The sequence below is a fragment of the Homo sapiens genome, chromosome X (assembly GCF_000001405.40).
Source record: "Homo sapiens chromosome X, GRCh38.p14 Primary Assembly".
Lineage (NCBI taxonomy): Eukaryota > Metazoa > Chordata > Mammalia > Primates > Hominidae > Homo > Homo sapiens.
Window position 1 is genome coordinate 639,159 of NC_000023.11, and position 20,903 is coordinate 660,061.

Genomic DNA, 20,903 nt, shown 5'->3' on the forward strand with positions numbered 1-20,903 from the left:
GAATTTCTCCAGCCTCCTGAGGGTCCCCTGCGCTATTGCACTCAACTTCTTGATAGTTTACCCCAAGACTCAGAAGTCCTTAGAGGGGCAGAATGCCCCCACCACAAAGCCTGCTATCCTTGGGCGTCCTCATGACCCTTGGTCATGAATGGGACCCTTTCATGTATGGGGACCCTTGGTAATATGAATGGGACGCCTTCAGCTCCCCAGGGCTTCCGAGGAGGCCGAGAAGGGCAAAGACACTTCCGAGGAGGCCGAGAAGGGCAAAGACATTTTCTGGGCTTGGTGTGTCAAGAGCTAGATTGGAGAAGGGGCTGGATTTGGAACTCTTTAGCCATCAGCTCACCCTCTCCGTTTGTGGCTAAAGTCTGAAGGTGGAAACTTCGGTTCTCCTACAGGGTCTACAGGAGTTGGGGGGCGGGGCGCCCACACAGAACGCTGGAAAGTTCGACAGTCCACTTCCACTGGCTCGGAACTCACTTTTTCACCTTAAGTTCATCAGCGGTAACGCATAGGTCTCACTTAGGCAGGGCACGGATGATTTAACAATTTCTACTTCTAGGTCAGGTGCGGTGGCTCACACCTCTAATCCCAGCACTTTGGGAGGCCCAGGAGGGTGGATCGCTTGAGGTCAGGAGTTTGAGACCAGCCTGGCCAACATGGTGAAACCCCGTCTCTACTAAAATACGAAAATTAGCCAGGCATGGTGGTGAGCACCTGTAATTCCAGCTACTCGGGAGGCTGAGGCAGGAGAATCGCTTGAACCTGGGAGGTGGACGTTGCAGTGAGGTGAGATCACACCACTGCACTCCAGCCTGGATGAGAGAGCAAGACTCTGTCTCAAAAACAAAATAAAACAAAAACAAAACAAAAATCAAAAAAGAAAACCCAATTTCCAGTTCTAGGCCAGGTGCAGTGGCTCACGCCTGTCATCCCAGCACTTTGGGAGGCCCAGGAGGGTGGATCGCTTGAGGTCAGGAGTTCGAGACCAGCCTGGCCAACATGGTGAAACCCCATCTCTACTAAAAATACAAACGTTAGCTAGGTGTGGTGGTGTGCGCCTGTAATCCCAGCTACTCGGGAAGCTGAGGCTGGAGAATTGCTTGAATCTGGGAGGTGGAGGTTGCAGGGAGGCGAGATAGTGCCACTGCAGTCCAGCCTGGACCAGAGAGCAAGACTCCGTCTCAAAAACAAAAGAAAGCAAAAACAAAAAACAAGAGACCAGCCTGGCCAACATGGTGAAACCGCGTCTCTACTAAAATACAAAATTAGCCGGGCATGGTGGTGGGCACCTGTAGTCCCAGCTACTCGGGAGGCTGAGGCAGGAGAATGGCTTGAACCTGGGAGGTGGAGCTTGCAGTGAGCCGAGATAGTGCCACTGCACTCCAGCCTGGGCGACAGAGCGAGACTTGATTTCAGAACCACCACCACCACAACAAAACAAAACAAAAAATCCAAAAAAACCCCAATTTCCAGTACTAGGTAGTCAGTGATGCAGGGCTGGAGACAGAGGGGCGGTAAGTGTCTGGGCGCCCACCATCAGTCACCTCCCAGCTCCCAGAGGTGCAAAGTGCTTGGTTCAGCCTCATGGGAAGGATGCTCCCTGGGGAGGCTGGGCTGGGTTCACAGGGCTCTTCACATCTCTCTCTGCTTCTCCCCAAGGTTTGGTTCCAGAACCGGAGAGCCAAGTGCCGCAAACAAGAGAATCAGATGCATAAAGGTGGGTGTCGGGACTGGGGGGACCTGAAGCTGGGGGATCCTGCTCCAGGAGGGATGGGGTCGACGAGGTGCTGGCTACACCCAGGACCACCACACTGACACCTGCTCCCTTTGGACACAGGCGTCATCTTGGGCACAGCCAACCACCTAGACGCCTGCCGAGTGGCACCCTACGTCAACATGGGAGCCTTACGGATGCCTTTCCAACAGGTAGCTCACTTTTTCTTCCTCTGAAGATCCCTAGGGACCTGCTGCTCCCTTCCCCTTTCCCCTATTTGCTGCCGCATCCTGACACTCCTAGTCCCTCCCTGCCCCTGCAGACTTCTCAGCTGGCCCTTAGAAAAAAAGCCTCTTTTCCGAGGAGGCATTTACAGGCACCTTGGCACCTATGAAATCAGGCTGGGCCAGGCGGGGTGGCTCACACCTGTCATCCCAGCACTTTGGGAGGCTGAGGAGGGTGCATCACCTGAGATCAGGAGTTCAAGACCAGCCTGGCCAACTTAACGAAACCCTGTCTATTAAAAATACAAAATGGGTGTGGTGGCTCACGCCTGTCATCCCAGCACTTTGGGAGGCCGAGGCAGGTGGATCACCTGAGGTCAGGAATTCGAGACCAGCCTGACCAACATGCTGAAACCCCGTCTCTACTGAAAACACAAAGCTTAGCCGGGCGTGGTGGTGCACACCTGTGATCCCAGGTACTTGGGAGGGAGAATCACTTGAACCTGGGAGGTGGAGGTTGCCGTGAGCCAATATCGCGCCACTGCACTCCACTCTGGGTGACAGAGTGAGACTCCAAGACTCCATCTCAAAAAAAAAAAAAAAAAAATCAGGCTGTAAAAATCCACTTTTGGGAAGGTGAACACACACAAGCCCAAACAGAAATCTGACAAAAACCAGAGGGGTGAAAAGTCCACACAGTCAGGCACCCCCACCTGGCTTGCTGCCTGGTTAAGAAGGGCGCAGATGCCTGTGCCTGGATACCAGAGATGGGACAGACACCCATTCCCTTTTCATCACCACCCCCGAGTGCCCGAGGGCCTGGGGCGTCTGCCTGGCCCCTGGCCCCTGGCTTGGGCTCTGCACCTCTGAGCTGGAGACACCCTACTCAGCTCCCCACTTACTTTGGAGTGAGCAGCGCTTGGGTGCCCAGCGTGGATTTGGGGCTTCCAGGGAGTCGGGGTTCGGTCGCGGAGCCCAAGCTTCCCAAGGGCGCCCCCGCCCTGCCCTGGCTTAGTGGTGGGGATGGGATGGGGGGAAGCGGGGAGCTGCGTGGAAGGAGGTGAAGGGTCACAGGAGGAGAGAGCGCAGCGCCCACGTGCGCCCTGCCTGAACGCGCAGCGCAGCGCCCGGCTGCGGTGCCCCTTGCCCCTTCGGTCCCTAATTTGGGGGTCGGGAGTGCATGCGCGGGCGGAACGGGCTTGGGGGGGGGGCTCTGGCAGGGCGGACGCGTGGCCTCCCTTCTTCACCGTTTTATTCCAAGGGGACAGGCTGGGGATTGTATTTGGGCGCGTGTTTGGCTGAGGGTGCAGGGACTTGGGGGGTGGCGGTGGGGAGCGCGGAAGGTATAAACGTATAAATCATAAGTAAACAACTCAGAAATGGACCCCGAGCGCTGGTCGCCGCTAGCTCTCCAGCTCTCCCTGGCCCAGGCCCGAAGGAGAGGGGTCCGCATCCCTCCGCGGTTCTCCTCTCCTGGGTACCTGGCCTTGAGGTGGGGGAACGAGCCTACTTCTTGTACCGTCTTTTGCCGACGGCGGGACCCAGTGAAATTAGGCCGTTGGAGCCCGCAGGCCTGCCTGGCTTTGCGCACCGGAGTCTTGGGGACCTGGTGTCCCCGGGAAAAACTTGGGGACCTGGTATCCCCGGGAGAGGCTTGGGGACCTGGTGTCCCGGGAGAGGCTTGGGTACCTGGTTTCTCTGGAAGAGGCTTGGACACCTGGTGTCCTGGGAGGGCCTTTGGGACCTGGTGTCCTGGGAGAGGCTTGGAGATCTGTTGTCCTGGGAGAGGCTTGGGGACCTGGTGTCCCTGGAGAGGCTTGGGGACCTGGTGACCTTGGAGAGGCTTGGAGACCTGGTGTTCTGGGAGAGGCTTGGGGACCTGGTGTTCTGGGAGAGGCTTGGGGACCTGGTGTCTCTGGAAGAGGCTTGGACACCTGGTGACCCGGGAGGGCCTTGGGGATCTGGTGTCCCGGGAGAGCCTTGGGGACCTGGTGTCCTGGGAGAGGCTTGGGGACCTGGTGACCTTGGAGAGGCTTGGGGACCTGGTGTCCTGAAAGAGCCTTGGGGATCTGGTGTCCCAGGAGAGGCTTGGGGACCTGGTGTCTCTGGAAGAGGCTTGGACACCTGGTGTCCTGGGGAGAGGCTTGGGGACCTGGTGTCCTGGGAGAGGCTTGGGGACCTGGTGTCCTGGGAGAGGCTTGGAGATCTGGTGAGCCGGGAGAGGCTTGGGGACCTGGTGTCCCGGGAGAGGCTTGGGGACTTGGTGTCCCGGGAGAGGCTTGGACACCTGGTGTCCCAGGAGAGGCTTGGGGACCTGGTGACCTTGGAGAGGCCTGGGGACCTGGTGACCCGGGAGAGCCTTGGGGACCTGGTGTCCTGGGGAGAGCCTTGGGGACCTGGTGACCTTGGAGAGGCTTGGGGACCTGGTGTCTCGGGAGTGCCTTGGGGACCTAGTGACCCGGGAGAGGCTTGGGGACCTGGTGTCCCGGGAGAGGCTTGGGGACCTGGTGTCCTGGGAGAGCCTTGGGGATCTGGTGTCCTGGGGAGAGGCTGGGGGACCTGGTGTCTCGGGAGAGAGCCTTGGGGACCTGGTGACCCGGGAGAGGCTTGGACACCTGGTGTCCCGGGAGAGGCTTGGGGACCTGGTGACCCGGGAGAGCCTTGGGGACCTGGTGTCCTGGGGAGAGGCTGGGGGACCTGGTGTCTCGGGAGAGAGCCTTGGGGACCTGGTGACCCGGGAGAGGCTTGGACACCTGGTGTCCCGGGAGAGGCTTGGGAGCCTGGTGTCCCGGGAGAGCCTTGGGGACCAGGTGACCTTGGAGAGGCTTGGGGACCTGGTGATCTTGGAGAGGCTTGGGGACCTGGTGTCTCGGGAGAGCCTTGGTGACCTGGGGACCCGGGAGAGGCTTGGGGACCTGGTGTCCCCGGGAGAGGTTACGGGGGCTGGTTGGGGGAGAGAACGTTGTGAGCCAAAGTCCCTGAATCCCTGCGAAGAGAGCGCATCGGGAGCTCCCCCTGAGGGCGTTCCATTTGTGGACCCCCCTCCCATGCGCTTTGCAGGGAGCTGTTCGGATTCCCCTGGCCCGGCTCCCGCGGATGCATCCAGTGGCAGCGCCAATTCTGGGCCAGGGGGAAGGAGGAAAGGCGGGTGTGGGGTGGTCTCCACGGCTGGAGAAGGGGCGACGCTCCCTAGGGGAGAAGAGGCACGTTGGAGGTTTCCGGGGGCGCGGGGCGGAGCAGGCCCCCCAGTCCCCATCCTGCGCCCTCACCCCGCCGGGTCCGCTCCCGCAGGTCCAGGCTCAGCTGCAGCTGGAAGGCGTGGCCCACGCGCACCCGCACCTGCACCCGCACCTGGCGGCGCACGCGCCCTACCTGATGTTCCCCCCGCCGCCCTTCGGGCTGCCCATCGCGTCGCTGGCCGAGTCCGCCTCGGCCGCCGCCGTGGTCGCCGCCGCCGCCAAAAGCAACAGCAAGAATTCCAGCATCGCCGACCTGCGGCTCAAGGCGCGGAAGCACGCGGAGGCCCTGGGGCTCTGACCCGCCGCGCAGCCCCCCGCGCGCCCGGACTCCCGGGCTCCGCGCACCCCGCCTGCACCGCGCGTCCTGCACTCAACCCCGCCTGGAGCTCCTTCCGCGGCCACCGTGCTCCGGGCACCCCGGGAGCTCCTGCAAGAGGCCTGAGGAGGGAGGCTCCCGGGACCGTCCACGCACGACCCAGCCAGACCCTCGCGGAGATGGTGCAGAAGGCGGAGCGGGTGAGCGGCCGTGCGTCCAGCCCGGGCCTCTCCAAGGCTGCCCGTGCGTCCTGGGACCCTGGAGAAGGGTAAACCCCCGCCTGGCTGCGTCTTCCTCTGCTATACCCTATGCATGCGGTTAACTACACACGTTTGGAAGATCCTTAGAGTCTATTGAAACTGCAAAGATCCCGGAGCTGGTCTCCGATGAAAATGCCATTTCTTCGTTGCCAACGATTTTCTTTACTACCATGCTCCTTCCTTCATCCCGAGAGGCTGCGGAACGGGTGTGGATTTGAATGTGGACTTCGGAATCCCAGGAGGCAGGGGCCGGGCTCTCCTCCACCGCTCCCCCGGAGCCTCCCAGGCAGCAATAAGGAAATAGTTCTCTGGCTGAGGCTGAGGACGTGAACCGCGGGCTTTGGAAAGGGAGGGGAGGGAGACCCGAACCTCCCACGTTGGGACTCCCACGTTCCGGGGACCTGAATGAGGACCGACTTTATAACTTTTCCAGTGTTTGATTCCCAAATTGGGTCTGGTTTTGTTTTGGATTGGTATTTTTTTTTTTTTTTTTTTTTTTTTTTTTTTTTGCTGTGTTACAGGATTCAGACGCAAAAGACTTGCATAAGAGACGGACGCGTGGTTGCAAGGTGTCATACTGATATGCAGCATTAACTTTACTGACATGGAGTGAAGTGCAATATTATAAATATTATAGATTAAAAAAAAAATAGCCGTGCACTCTTGACCCCGTCAGCGTCCAACGTGGAAAAGGCGTTACCTCTTCTCCCAGCGCTGGCCGCCTGGCCACTGAGGGCCCTTTGCAAAAATCACGGGTGTAGAGATGGCCCTGGGCGCGCTGGGAGTGTGGTTGTGTTTCTGAAGGGGATAAAAGAGGGCACGGTGGTGCCAAGATATCAGTTTGGTACCTGAGCTGTTTCTGGTTGGGAAGCGTAAAAGCCAGGGAGAGATCCAGAGAGTTTTCAAGTTTTTGCAGATGTAGGTGGTTCCAGCTTTTCTTTCTCCCCTACTCCATCTTCTGCGTTCCCCCAGTTCTTTTATTTCTTTGTTTTTTATTTTTGAGACAGAGACTTGCTTTGTCGCCCAGGCTGGAGTGCAGTGGCGCAATGTCAGCTCACTGCCACCTCCGCCTCCCGGGTTCAAGCGATGCTCCTGCCTCAGCCTCCCGAGTAGCTGGGACTACAGGCACCTGCCACCACCCCCGGCTAATTTTTTGTATTTATAGTAGAGACGGGGTTTCACCGTGTTGGCCAGGCTCGTCTCGAACTCCTGACCTCAGGTGATCTGCCCGCCTCGGCCTCCCAACGTGCCCCCAGTTTTATAAACAGCAGATAGCAACTTGTCGTCACAGCTGGCATGGGCTGGACAGTTGCTTGAAATGACCTAACCAAAAACATTCAAGGGTTCTGCCCCCAGATTTCGGGAGATCCACGTTCCATGTTCTGATTGGTTTTCTGGGAACACAGCAAGGGGTTTGGTGACCTCCGAGAAGATCCATCTGCATGATTGGCATTAGTTACCACAGCCTGCCCAGAGAGAAACTATCTTCTCCCAACATTTACTAACATCCACTGGTCAACTCTCTTATTTCCATAACACATTTGCATCTTTCTGGATTCAAGCTTGGTGGTTTTCTTTCCTAACTTCTGATTTAGATACTTCTCCCTGAGGTGGGGATAAAAGAAAAAAAAAAACAACTTCTTTTTTTCTTCCGCATAACACTTTCTATCTTGTCACTGAGCTGAACTGTAGATCCATTTGGACCCGTCTCATTTGTATCTTCTGATATTCTTTATACAAACCAAAAGTCCCCTTCAACATTTTTTATGTCAAAATGTTACAACCGCTGTAAAATGACGGAGAGAGAGAGAAAGAATCCCAGACATTAACGGTATTAGAGAGTTTGCCTCATTCATCCATTTTTCTTAAAAGCTGGAAATTAAAAAAAAAAAAGAGAGAGAGAGGCTTTAATAGTTAAGCTGAAATTTTTATCGAAAAGAAGAATTGCATTTTGAATCTTTGGGAAGTAGGTTCATTCATCAGAGTATGTAACCCTTTGGAAAAGTGGTTGGTAAGATATGTACAGCCCTAGATTTTTTTTTTTTAACCAAAAAGGCTGAGTAATTTTGAAAAATCGAAACATAACAGTGTGTCATCATTTCCTCCCAAGAAAAAGCTCACTCCACGTGAGTAGAAAGACATCTACCTGGTCCCTGTAGAATCTGAACGTTTCTCTTTAGAGACGGAATTTCAATCTTGTCCCCCAGGCTGGAGTGCAGTGGCACAATCTCGGCTCACCGCAACCTCCGCCTCCCGGGTTCAAGCCATTCTCCTGCCTCAGCCTCCCGAGTAGCTGGGATTACAGGCACCTGCCACCAGGCCTGGGTAACTTTCTGGTATTTTTAGTAGAGACAGGGTTTCAGCCTCCCGAGTAGCTGGGATTACAGGCACCTGCCACCAGGCCTGGGTAACTTTCTGGTATTTTTAGTAGAGACAGGGTTTCAGCCTCCCGAGTAGCTGGGATTACAGGCACCTGCCACCAGGCCTGGGTAACTTTCTGGTATTTTTAGTAGAGACAGGGTTTCAGCCTCCCGAGTAGCTGGGATTACAGGCACCTGCCACCAGGCCTGGGTAACTTTCTGGTATTTTTAGTAGAGACAGGGTTTCGGCCTCCCGAGTAGCTGGGATTACAGGCACCTGCCACCAGGCCTGGGTAACTTTCTGGTATTTTTAGTAGAGACAGGGTTTCGGCCTCCCGAGTAGCTGGGATTACAGGCACCTGCCACCAGGCCTGGGTAACTTTCTGGTATTTTTAGTAGAGACAGGGTTTCAGCCTCCCGAGTAGCTGGGATTACAGGCACCTGCCACCAGGCCTGGGTAACTTTCTGGTATTTTTAGTAGAGACAGGGTTTCGGCCTCCCGAGTAGCTGGGATTACAGGCACCTGCCACCAGGCCTGGGTAACTTTCTGGTATTTTTAGTACAGACAGGGTTTCAGCCTCCCGAGTAGCTGGGATTACAGGCACCTGCCACCAGGCCTGGGTAACTTTCTGGTATTTTTAGTAGAGACAGGGTTTCGGCCTCCCGAGTAGCTGGGATTACAGGCACCTGCCACCAGGCCTGGGTAACTTTCTGGTATTTTTAGTAGAGACAGGGTTTCGGCCTCCCGAGTAGCTGGGATTACAGGCACCTGCCACCAGGCCTGGGTAACTTTCTGGTATTTTTAGTAGAGACAGGGTTTCGGCCTCCTGAGTAGCTGGGATTACAGGCACCTGCCACCAGGCCTGGGTAACTTTCTGGTATTTTTAGTAGAGACAGGGTTTCAGCCTCCCGAGTAGCTGGGATTACAGGCACCTGCCACCAGGCCTGGGTAACTTTCTGGTATTTTTAGTACAGACAGGGTTTCGGCCTCCTGAGTAGCTGGGATTACAGGCACCTGCCACCAGGCCTGGGTAACTTTCTGGTAGTTTTAGTAGAGACAGGGTTTCAGCCTCCCGAGTAGCTGGGATTACAGGCACCTGCCACCAGGCCTGGGTAATTTTTTTGCATTTTTGGTAGAGACAGGTTTTTGCTGTGTTGGCCCGGCTGGTCTCAAACTCCTGACCTCAGGTTGACCTGCCCGCTTTGTCCCTCGCAAAGTGCTGGGATTACAGGCGTGAGCCACCGCACCTGGCCTGAATCTGAACTTTTAAAAGGGAGTTACTGACTCTCAACTGTGCGGGGACGGTTTCAGTTTGATTTAATATGGAAAGAGGGCCAAGTGTCATCCTCACAAATGGGTCCCCGAAGCAGATCAAACGCAGAGAACTGTGAGGGTGGGACACGAGTGTCTGTGGACACTGGCTGCCTTTGGCTTTTCTCCTGCGAGAGAAGTTGGGTGACTTTCTGTAGGTGGATGAGTGATCCCTGAATGAGTGTGGGGTACGTGTATGCTAGCTGCTTCTTTCTCCCTGAAACTCTCGGATGGAAGGAAGTAAGAAATTCAGCTTGGGCTGTGACCAGTTCTCACCACCAACGCCCTCTTCTCTCTCCCTTCTCCTTCCTTCCTTCCTTCCTTTCTTTCTTTTTCTTTCTTTCTCTCTTTCTTTCTTTTCTTTCTTTCTGTTTCTTTCCTTTTTATCTTTCTCTCTTTTTCTTTCTCTTTTCCTTTTTTGTTTCTTTCTTTCTTTTTCTTTCTTTCTTTTTCTTTCTTCTTTCTTTCTTCGATGAAGTCTCACTCTGTCACCCAGGCTGGAGTGCAGTGGTGCAATCCCAGCTCACTGCATCCTCTACCTCCTGGCTTCAAGAAATTCTCCTGCCTCAGCCTCCCAAGTAGCTGGGATGACAGGCACCCACCACCATTCCCGGATAATTTTTGTATTTTTTAGTAGAGACCGGGTTTCGCCATGTTGGCCAGGCTGGTCTTGAACTCCTGACCTCACATGATCCACCCGCCTCAGCCTCCCAGAGTGCTGGGATTACGGGGTGAGGCACCGCGCCCGGCCTCCTCTCTCTTTTTCTGAGATGTTTAGGAAGGACTGGGCTGATGGGGACCCTCTGTATGTGATGTGCGTGGGTTTGGTTTCCCGGAAGGCCCTCCAGAGACACGTTTGCGTGAACATTCAGCATGGAAACAACATACGTCTCTCCACAGGAGGTGAGAAATTGAATTTATGGGGTGGGTGTACGCTGGCGATTCTTGGTGCTTTTTGCTCAAAACAAGGTTCTTTTGAAAGTCACGTTCCTGCTTTCCCTGTGGCTTCCCGGTGAGCTCGCTCGCAGAGCAAGGAATACCACCCAGAGAGCAACGTGGGCTGTGTTCCGATGTAACGCCGTTGCAGAGAGAGGATTTGGTGTGTGAGATCCGTACCAGCTCCAGCACACTGATAGGAACACGTTGCTGGCCGAACTGAACGATGCTGGGTTGGGTCCTGATTGATACGTATTTTCTTCCCTCCTCTCCCCAAAACTTGGCCAAATAGTCCGTGGAGGGTTGTCAGTCGCCGCAGTTGAGCAAAAAACACTTCTTCCTTTGAGTGGCTGTTCTGGTGAAATCTGTTTCTGACATATCCACTTTTCTCTCTCTTTTCTCTCTCTCTGACTGCGAAGCACCCACAGGGAGAAGGAATTGGATGTATCGGATGTTGCTATTAGATTTTCTTTCTCCGTTCGAGTCTCTGACTGGTGCATACTTTGCAAAGGTGTGTTCCTGGCAATTGCCAAGAGTTAGAAAAATGCACCTTCTCTGGTGGCCGTTGGGGTGTTGTTTCACAGGCAGTGGTGACAGGGCCCCTTGGCTGTGGCTGTCTTCTCCAGCGCCGTGGATAAAGAGATGGGACAGATTCTGTGCCTCTGTACGATTTAGAGCGTAACTGACCGCGTCCAACACCCGTTTTTCCACTTACAAAGCTGGTGGTGCGACGGGCTTGGTGTCTCCCGTACGGGAAGGAGGCCTTTGGGCCGCTCCAAAGACGCCCTGTCGTAGGAATGGCCTCTCCATCCCGCCAAAGTCCAGCCAGGCCCCCGAAATGGTCCCATTTCCTTGGAAGCCTGAGTTTCTGTTCTGGTCTTGCTGCTGTCCTTGGCCACGTCAGCACGTGGGAGCATCTGTGGATACCGCAGAGTCTGGGGACAGCTGGGCGTTTAACCGAAATGAAGCCGAGACGGGTTTCAGGTTTTGGTGCCAAGCTCTGGTCAGGATGAAAGGGAAATACCAGAGTCCTCTGTCCTCGCCTCTGGGTTTCATGCTGACCTTTCTAACATTTGTTTTCCCCTAAGAACAAGCAGAAGCCTCCAGCTCCCTTTAGCTCCACAGTTTTCCCGGGGACATAGCGAGGATGGCACACGGCAGCCACTCCCACGACACACATTTCGGAGGCACTTTGCTGGAAGCCGCTTGTCTCCTCCAGCTTTGGGAGGTCTGGGGAGGAGAGAGGCTTTCGGTGGACACGTTTGACATTAAAAAAAAAAAAAAAAAAAAAAAAAAACTGGTGCCTAATTTATTAAAGAGAATTAGCTTAGCGAGTATATGCTGATATTCTTCGACACACGTGGGTAAGTTGATGCCATTTATAAATGTTTTATTGAAATTTGATATTTAATGAGAAGCCGGTTAAGGAATGTAGACAATATCCCGTTTCAAAGCTATGAAATGTGCTATTTATTGAAAGGGGATGTGGCTTCACGAGTTCAGCCCATTGTACGTGCAGGTCCCGTGGGAAGGAGGCAAAAGCCCCTGCTTCTTACTTTGTGATGTATGTGCATTTGTTATTTATTTTTTTTTCCTTGGTCGGACGTTCATAAATATGTACTATTTTAATTATGTCGAGTGTAAATTTGACATCGCGTTGCATTTATTTTTATATTTCTGAAAACTGTTGCTTTTTCTTTTTCCCTCCCCCATTGACGACATAGCGGCCCCCGCGTCCGGGTTACAAATACATCTACAGATATTTTCAGGGATTGCTTCAGATGAAAACAAATCACACACCGTTTCCCAAACCAACAGTCTTCACATTTCTATCCCTCTGTTATTGTCGGCAGGCGGTGAGGGGTAGAAAAAAAACAAACAAACAAACAGAAAAAAAAACCAAAAAAAACCACCCTGAGTTTCTCTGGTGACGCCCTCATTCTCCTAACGTTCAATAATCTCAATGTTGAGTTGCAGCAACAGACTGTATTTTTGTGACGCCCCGTAGTATGAATGTACATCTTGTAAAACTGAGATATAAATAAACTTATAAATATTTGTATTCAAGTGTTAAAAAAAAAAAAATTCTCAACCTCTCCCCTGAGGACAGGCTTATTGGAAAAAAAAAAAAAAAAAAAAAATCCTGAGTCGGCCGTGGCTGAACACAGAGTGTTGTTCTGCTCCGTGCATTTCCAGGGTGGGTACCCAGTGTTGCCCCCCAGCCTTAGATCGGGAGGTACCATTGACTTTTGCTTGTATCCCATCCCCTTCCTTTACTGAAACCTACCTCCCCGCTTCTCAGCCAACGTCCCCCCAGAAGGTGGCAAAAAAAACAGAGGAAAAAGCCCTGATTTGAATCAAGTCAGAGCTGCTAATTCTCCACTTTCTTTAATTAATTAATTTATTTTTTTTTTTGAGACTGAGTCTCGCTCTGTCGCCCAGGCCGGAGGAGTGCAGGGGCGCGATCTCGGCTCACCGCGACCTCCGCCTCCCGGGTTCAAGCGACTCTCCTGCCTCAGCCTCCCGAGTAGCTGGGATGACAGTCACCTGCACCACCGCGCCCGGCTCATTTTTGTATTTTTAGTAGCAATGGGGTTTCACCGTGTTGGTCAGGCTGGTCTCGAACTCCTGACCTCGTGATCCACCCGCGTCTGGGCCCGGCCGGTGATGTGTGTGCTTTTAACTTTTATTTTGTTCCAGTTTTCGACAGTGGCACGGATTTTCCAGCACGGTCTTGCAAGGATGATTGAGTCATTTTTGAGACAAAAAATATAATAATAATAAATGGAAAAAGAAATCGACTTTTAAAAATGACAAATTTTTTTTTTTTTTTTTGCATAGATTTTTCTCTCTTTATGTAAAGGAAAGTTCATGATTGGATTTGGCCGGCCTGACTGCTTCCCGGCTGTGATAAAAAACACATGTGAGCTGGGAGGGAAGTGGGGGAGGGACACAGCTGCCCACACAGGGTTCCCACCGCGGTTACAGGGTGGGCAGTGCTGGGGGAGCTTTCTCTGTGGGGGGCTCAGAGCCTGAGGACAGGTGAGCCTCTCCGACACCTCCCCAGTTGCCTGGAGTCTAAACCGTCCGTTGTCTGTACCGTCCGTTCTTCCTGCTGACTCCTGGTAGTTCCTGAAAGCTTCTCTTGGCCAGAGAAGGGGTTTCAGAGGCCGTGTGTCCAGGCCATTCTGCAAAGTGCAACTTGACCGTTCCTTTCCTTTTCTGGCCTGCGTGGTCTGAAGCTCAGAGCCCTCTCTTCACCCAGCCTGTGTGTGTCTTGCCGGACAGAAGAAAAATGGTGCTTTTTGCGTGTTAGCAGAGGTGCTTTTCATGGCTGACCTCAACGCGTCCATCTCCAGCCTGTTTTTTAGGGGCAAACGCAGGCAAGTTCTGAATGCACACAGTTATTTCATGGTTAAACTATTCAGCTTTGGCCGGGCGCAGTGTGGCTCTCACGCCTGTCATCCCAGCACTTTGGGAGGCCGAGGCGGGTGGATCACCTGAGGTCAGGAGTTCGAGACCAGCCTGGCCAACACGGTGAAACTCTATCTCTACTAAAAATACAAAAATTAGCCGGGCGTGGTGGTGTGTATCTGTAATCCCAGCTACTCAGGAAGCTGAGGCAGGAGAATCGCTTGGACCCAGGAGGCGGAGGTTGCACTGAGCCGAGATCGCGCCATTGCACTCCAGCCTGGGCGACAGAGCCAGACGCTGTCTCAAAAAAATGAATAATAAAATAAAATAACAGGAACTAAATAAAATAAAACGTTCAGCTTTGTTCTGCAAATCCACTCCTATTGTTTTACGTGGTTTGAGAGACTCTGTCCCTTAGAAATAGATGTTTGTTGCCAATTGTAATGAATCTGTTTCAAAAATGAACAGAATATTCAAATGGTTTGAGAGATCTTTTCCCTTAGAAATAGCTTGTTGCCAATCACAAAGAATGTTTTTCAAAAATGAATGGAATCTTCCTGGATATCGCTTCCAGATCTTCATTTTTTTTGCATAGTTCAACCTGAAAAGTAAGTGTCTCAGCCCTGAATTTCTTTCTGATTTTTCCATGGGTTGTCTTGCAGACTTCTCTGGACTTGACCACATTTAAAAAAAAAAAAATTAACTTTTTCACACGGACACGGTTTCAATAGGAATGAGATCTTTGAGTTTTTATGTAACAGATTCTTACCATCAGTTCTCAGATTCCCAAATTACACACAAAAAGCCACGGACTTCGCCTCCTGCTAACATGTCCTTCTGTTTCTGAGGCTTCTGTTGGTGTTAGACTTTCATGTTTAATAGCAGACAATGTAGGGATTTAAAGAAAAATGCAGAGAAAGCAAAAACACTGACCAAACACACGGAGATAAGCTTTCTAAAGCCTTTGTTCTTGGAGTTGTCGTTAAAAAAAAAAAGTTGTTTTAAACTTTGCAAGCATGCCTATATTGAACTCATAAGCAAGAGAGCCAAGAAAAATAGTGTCGGTCGTCTACTCTACACGTTTTCCCAAAACAGACGTATTTTAATTTCTTTTGTTTGAACTCACAGATGCTGAGAGTTAAAAGTTAAATTTTTGTCATGAACAATAGTGGCCAAAACCACAGTTACTTTTGCACTATAGCATAATAAGAAAAATACAGGCTGGGCTCGGTGGCTCACACCTGTAATCAAAGCACTTTTGGAGGCGAAACAGCCAGATCCCTTGAGCCCAGGAGATTGAGACCAGCCTGGGCAACATAGCGAGACCCTCATCTCTACAAAAAAGGTTTGTTACATATGTAACAAACCTGCACATTGTGCACATGTACCCTAAAACTTAAAGTATAATAATAAAAAAATTAAAAAAAAATTCACCAATCAACTGCCTGCTGGTGCCTTCAAGAGACTCACCTAACACATAAGGACTTGCATAAACTTATAAAACAATTCAATGGAAGAATCCTTGAAAGTATTCTGAGAAGACAGTATAATAAACTGATTTCTAAAAAGGCTATAAAAAATTGAATAAATCATTGTTGGGCATCCTGTGCTGAAATATAATGCAGCCAATAAAAATTACAAAATGAATAAACATTTTATAACAATTAAAAAAAGTCAAATAATTAGGCAGGCATGGTGGTGCTCTCCTACGGTTGAAGCTATTCAGCAGGCAAGAGGATACTTTGTTTTTGTTTTTTAATTTTTTTTGAGACAGAGTCTCGCTCTGTTGCCAGGCTGGAGTGCAGTGGCGTGATCTCAGCTCACTGTAATTTCTGCCTCCCGGGTTCAAGCGATTTTCCTGCCCCAGCCTCCCGAGTAGCTGGGATTACAGGTGCCCGCCACCACACCTGGCTAATTTCTTTTGTATTTTTAGTAGAGACGAGGTTTCCCCATGTTGGCCAGGCTGGTTTTGAGCTCCCGACCTCGGGTGATCCACCCGCCTCAGCCTCCCAAAGTGCTGGGATGACAGGCGTGAGCCACCGCGCCTGGCCCAGGAGGATTATTTGATCCCAGGAGGTGGAGGCTGCAGGAAGCCATGATTGCACCACTGCACTCCAGCCTGGCTGACAGAGTGAGACCACATCTCTAAATAAATGAATAAATACAGGCAGAAACTTTTTTTGTTTTGTTTTGATGGAGTCTTGCTCTGTCACCAGGCAGGAGTGCAGTGGTGCCATCTCAGCTCACTGCAACCTCCACCTCCTGGGTTCAAGCAATCCTCCTGCCTCAGCCTCCCGAGTAGCTGGGATTACAGGTGCCCGCCACCACGCCCGGCTAATTTTTTGTATGTTTAGTAGAGACGGGATTTCACCGTGTTAGCCAGGATGGTCTTGATCTCTTGACTTTGTGATCTGCCTGCCTCAGCCTCCCAAAGTGCTGGGATTACAGGCATGAGCCCAGGAGTTCAAGACCAGCCTCAGCAACAAAGTGAGACCTTTTCTCTCCAAAAAATCAAAAATTTAGCCAGCTGTGGTGGCTCCTGCCCGTGATCCCAGTACTGTGGGAGGCTGAGGCAGAATTGCTTGAGCCCAGGAGTTCGAGACCAACCTCAGCAAAAAGGACTCTCTCTCTGTCTCTCTCTCTCTCTCTCTCTCTCTCTCTCTCTCTCTCTCTCTCTCTATATATATATATATATATATATATATATATATATATATATATGAGTTTCAAAAATTGCTGGGTGACCAGCTCATCTACTGGTTTTCCCCTTGGGAAAGTGAAATTGTCATGTATTGAAGATTTCCAAGGAAGTTGTATTGAATGAGAAACAAACTCAATCTGTTCGTGTTTAAAGAGCTGCAGTGCGTTTGCCGTGTTTCCCATAAAACTGCACTTCCAAAAGACACGCTGAGAAAGGAGACCAGGATTTGTAATTCAGAAATTGGAAAGCAAGTTAGGCTGGACGTGGTAGCTCACGCTTGTTGTAATCTCAGCACTCTGGGAGGCTGAGGCAGGAGGATCACTTGAGCCCAGGAGTTCAAGACCAGCCCGTGCCACATGGTGAAACCCTGTCTCTCCAAAAAATAAAACATTTAGCCAGATGTGGTGACTCATGCCTGTAATCCCGGTATTCTGGGAGGCTGAGGCAGAGTTGCTTGAGCCCAGGAGTTCAAGACCAGCCTCGGCAACAAAGTGAGACCCTGTCTCTCCAAAAAATAAAACATTTAGCCAGCTGTGGTGACTCATGCCTGTAATCTCAGTACTCTGGGAGGCTGGGGCAGAATGGCTTGAGCCCAGGAGTTCGAGACCAACCTCAGCAACAAAGTGAGATCTTGTTTCTCCAAAAAATCAAAAATTTAGCCAGCTGTGCTGGCTCATGCCTGTAATCCCGGTACTCTGGGAGGCTGAGGCAGAATCGTTTGAGCCCAGGAGTTCGAGACCAACCTCAGCAACAAAGTGAGATCTTGTTTCTCCAAAAAAATCAAAAATTTAGCCAGCTGTGCTGGCTGATGCCTGTAATCCCGGTACTCTGGGAGGCTGAGGCGGAATTGCTTGAGCCCAGGAGTTCAAGACCAGCCTCAGCAACAAAGTGAGATCTTGTTTCTCCAAAAAATAAAACATTTAGTCAGCTGTGGTGGCTCAAGCCTGTGATCCCAGCATTTTGGGAGGCCGAGGCGGGCGGATCACGAGGTCATGAGATCGAGACCATCCTGGCTAACACGGTGAAACCCCGTCTCTACTAAAAATACAAAGAAAATTAGCCGGGCGTGGTGGCGGGCGCCTGTAGTCCCAGCTACTCAGGAGGCTGAGGCAGGAGAATGCCGTGAGCCTGGGAGGCGGACCATGCAGTGAGTCGAGATCGCGCCACTGCCCTCCAGCCTGGGCCACAGAGCAAGACTCCGTCTCAAAAAAAAAAAAAAAAAACTGCTGCCCAAGCTGTGTTTGCACCACTGCCCTCCAGCCTGGGCAACAGAGCAAGACTCCGTCTCAAAAAAAAAAAAAAAATGCTGCCCAAGCTGTGTTTGCACCACTGCCCTCCAGCCTGGGCAACAGAGCAAGACTCTGTCTCAAAAAAAAAAAAAATGCTGCCCAAGCTGTGTTTGCACCACTGCCCTCCAGCCTGGGCAACAGAGCAAGACTCCGTCTCAAAAAAAAAAAAAATGCTGCCCAAGCTGTGTTTGCACCACTGCCCTCCAGCCTGGGCAACAGAGCAAGCCTCAGCTTTCTGCCATCTCCACAACCAAGAAAGCAATTCACACAGAAATCAGTGCATCGTGCAGTGACCTCTTCAGAAAACCAATGAGTTTTCCACCTGAGGAACTGTTTCTGAGCCCCATTCAGAAGAACACATCCCTGTAACTGCAGGGCAGATTTACTCACTGATGCCTGTTTAAATAAAGCTTCCAGCCTCTGCATGGGGTCTGTCTGGAAGCTCCTGTATCTGTCCCACATTCTTGGAATCACAATGCACCCTTGGGAGGAAGATATGTATTTAAAGGGAGTGGATGTTATGGTGAGAAAATGCTGCCCATCCTTCTAGAAGACAAAAGCCACACAAAATACATCACAAGAACCAGTTTTTTTCAGAGAAGAACCTGCACAAAGAACCTGCTCCCCCCACACCCCCACACACAGGTGAATTAACAGGATGTATGTTTTATCATAAAAGCACAGGTTTGTTTCCTATGCACTCTCTGAGGATTTGGCCATATGCAAAGATGTACAAAAACCTTCTCTTTCCCCAGGGAACCGTAACCCGTCTGAAAAGATGCCCTTCTCAGAAGCGAGTTGAACGATTGTTGGAAAAGATAAAATACGACGTGCACACACAGAGTAGAGAAATGTCACCCATGCAAATTATGTGTTTGAATGGAACACATTCAGGAAGCTAAATGGGGTATGACCACACATTTGGGTTGATTTATTTGACGAGTGGAAGGGGCAGATGGAAATGAATACTGCTGTTTTCCTTTGGAAGGCCATATATGGGAATACCAAGAGGATTACTTTGGAAGTTTAGCTTCTCCAGGTGGTCTCTCTCTCTCTCTCTTTTTTTGAGACAGAGTCTCACTCTGTCACCCAGGCTGCAGTGCAATGGCGTGATCTCGGCTCACTGCAACCTCAGCCTCCCAGGTACAAGCGATTCTCCTGCCTCAGCCTCCCGAGTAGCTGGGATCACAGGTGTGCACCACCACGCCTGGCTAATGTTTGTATTTTCAGTAGAGATGAGGTTTTACCATGTTGGCCAGGCTGGTCTTGAACTCCTGACCTCAGGTGATCCGCCTGCCTCGGCCTCCCAAAGTGCTGGGATGACAGACATGAGCCAGCACGCCCGGCCCCAGGTGGTCTTTTTAGCGGGTATTAAAGCAGCTTTCTCTCTGAGCCTTAAACCATGAAGATAGACAGACTCAGTGTATGGGTTTTAGAGTTGTAATTTTATAAAAATAAGAAAAAGTCGACCTATCATTGATGGTTAGTATTTTTTGTAGCAGTTGCATGCAATATTAGGATAAGGCATGTTCTCAAAAAGAACTCTTTTTTTTTTTTTTTTTGAGACGGAGTCTCGCTCTGTCACCCAGGCTGGAGTGCAGTGGCACGATCTCCGCTCACTGCAAGCTCCTCTTCCCGGGTTCACGCCATTCTCCTGCCTCAGCCTCCCCAGTAGCTGGGACTACAGGCGCCCGCCACCGCGCCCGGCTAATTTTTTGTATTTTTAGTAGAGACGGGGTTTCACCGTGTTAGCCAGGAAGGTCTCGATCTCCTGACCTCATGATCCGTCCGCCTCAGCCTCCCAAAGTGCTGGGACTACAGGCGTGAGCCACTGCACTTGGCCTTTTTTTTTTTTTAGATGGAGTTTTGCTCTTGTCGCCCGGGCTGGAGTATAATGGCATGATCTCGACTCACTGCAACCTCCGCCTCCCGAGTTCAAGCGATTCTCCTGCCTCAGCCTCCCGAGTAGCTGGGATTACAGGTGCCCACCACCATGTCAAGATAATGTTTGTATTTTCAGTAGAGATGGGGTTTGACCATGTTGGCCAGGCTGGTCTCGAACTCCTGACCTCAGGTGATCCACCCGCCTTAGCCTCCCAAAGTGCTGGGATGACAGGCGTGAGCCCCTGCGCCCGGCCTTTGTAACTTTATTTTTAATTTTTTTTTTTTTTTTAAGAAAGACAGAGTCTTGCTCTGTCACCCAGGCTGGAGCACACTGGTGCGATCATAGCTCACTGCAGCCTCAAACTCCTGGGCTCAAGCAATCCTCCCACCTCAGCCTCCTGAGTAGCTGGGACTACAGGCACCCACCACCACACCCAGCTAATTTTTTTGATTTTTACTAGAGACGGGATCTTGCTTTGCTGCTGAGGCTGGTCTTGAGCTCCTGAGCTCCAAAGATCCTCTCACCTCCACCTCCCAAAGTGTTAGAATTACAAGCATGAACCACTGCCCGTGGTCTCCAAAAAAAGGACTGTTACGTGGATGTTCTAGCTTCCTGTTCTCGTCTTTTCTTTGTTAATTGTACAGTTTGAGGGTGTGTGTGCGTGTGCGCGCGTGTGTGTGTGCAGTCTCCTGATTTCATGTATTTAATTGTTATTACCACCACCTCCATCTCTCATTCCTTCTTACCCTCACTGTGTAAAGATACATGTTGTTTTTAAATTTTATTTATTTATATTTATTTATTTGTATTTTTGAGGCAGAGTCTCACTCTGTTGCCCAGGCTAGTGGCATGATCTCAGCTCACAGCAACCTTTGCCTCCTGGGTTCAAGCGATTCTCCTGCCTCAGCCTCCCGAGTAGCTGAGATTACAGGCACACACCACCACACCCGGCTAGTTTTGTTTTGAGACGGAGTCTCGCTCTGTTGCAGGCTGCAGTGCAGTGGCGTGATCCTGGCTCACTGCAACCTCTGCCTCCTGGATTCAAGCGATTCTCCTGCCTCAGCCTCCCAAGTAGCTGGGATTACAGGCGCCCACCGCCACACCTGGCTAATTTTTTATTGGTAGTAGAGACGGGGTTTCTCCATGTTGACCAGACTGGTCTTGAACTCCCAACCTCGGGTGATCCACCCACCTGGGCCTCCCAAAGTGCTGGGATGACAGGCGAGGGCCACCGCGTCCAGCCTTCTTCT

At 51.3% G+C, this 20,903-nt stretch overlaps 1 protein-coding gene across 2 annotated transcripts in view; it reads left to right on the forward strand.

The window, feature by feature from the left end:
• Positions 1-20,253, forward strand: part of SHOX (SHOX homeobox) — a 35,068-nt gene extending 14,815 nt beyond the window's left edge. The window contains exons 4-6 of one of the 2 annotated variants that reach the window (NM_006883.2): positions 1,663-1,720; positions 1,841-1,929; positions 19,627-20,253. In NM_006883.2, the coding sequence (NP_006874.1) occupies positions 1,663-1,720; positions 1,841-1,929; positions 19,627-19,671 (192 nt within the window). In that variant the 3' untranslated portion in view covers positions 19,672-20,253. Of the gene's footprint in view, positions 1-1,662; positions 1,721-1,840; positions 1,930-5,232; positions 12,427-19,626 lie in introns of those variants that run through there. The other variant, NM_000451.4, reaches the window with a different exon arrangement.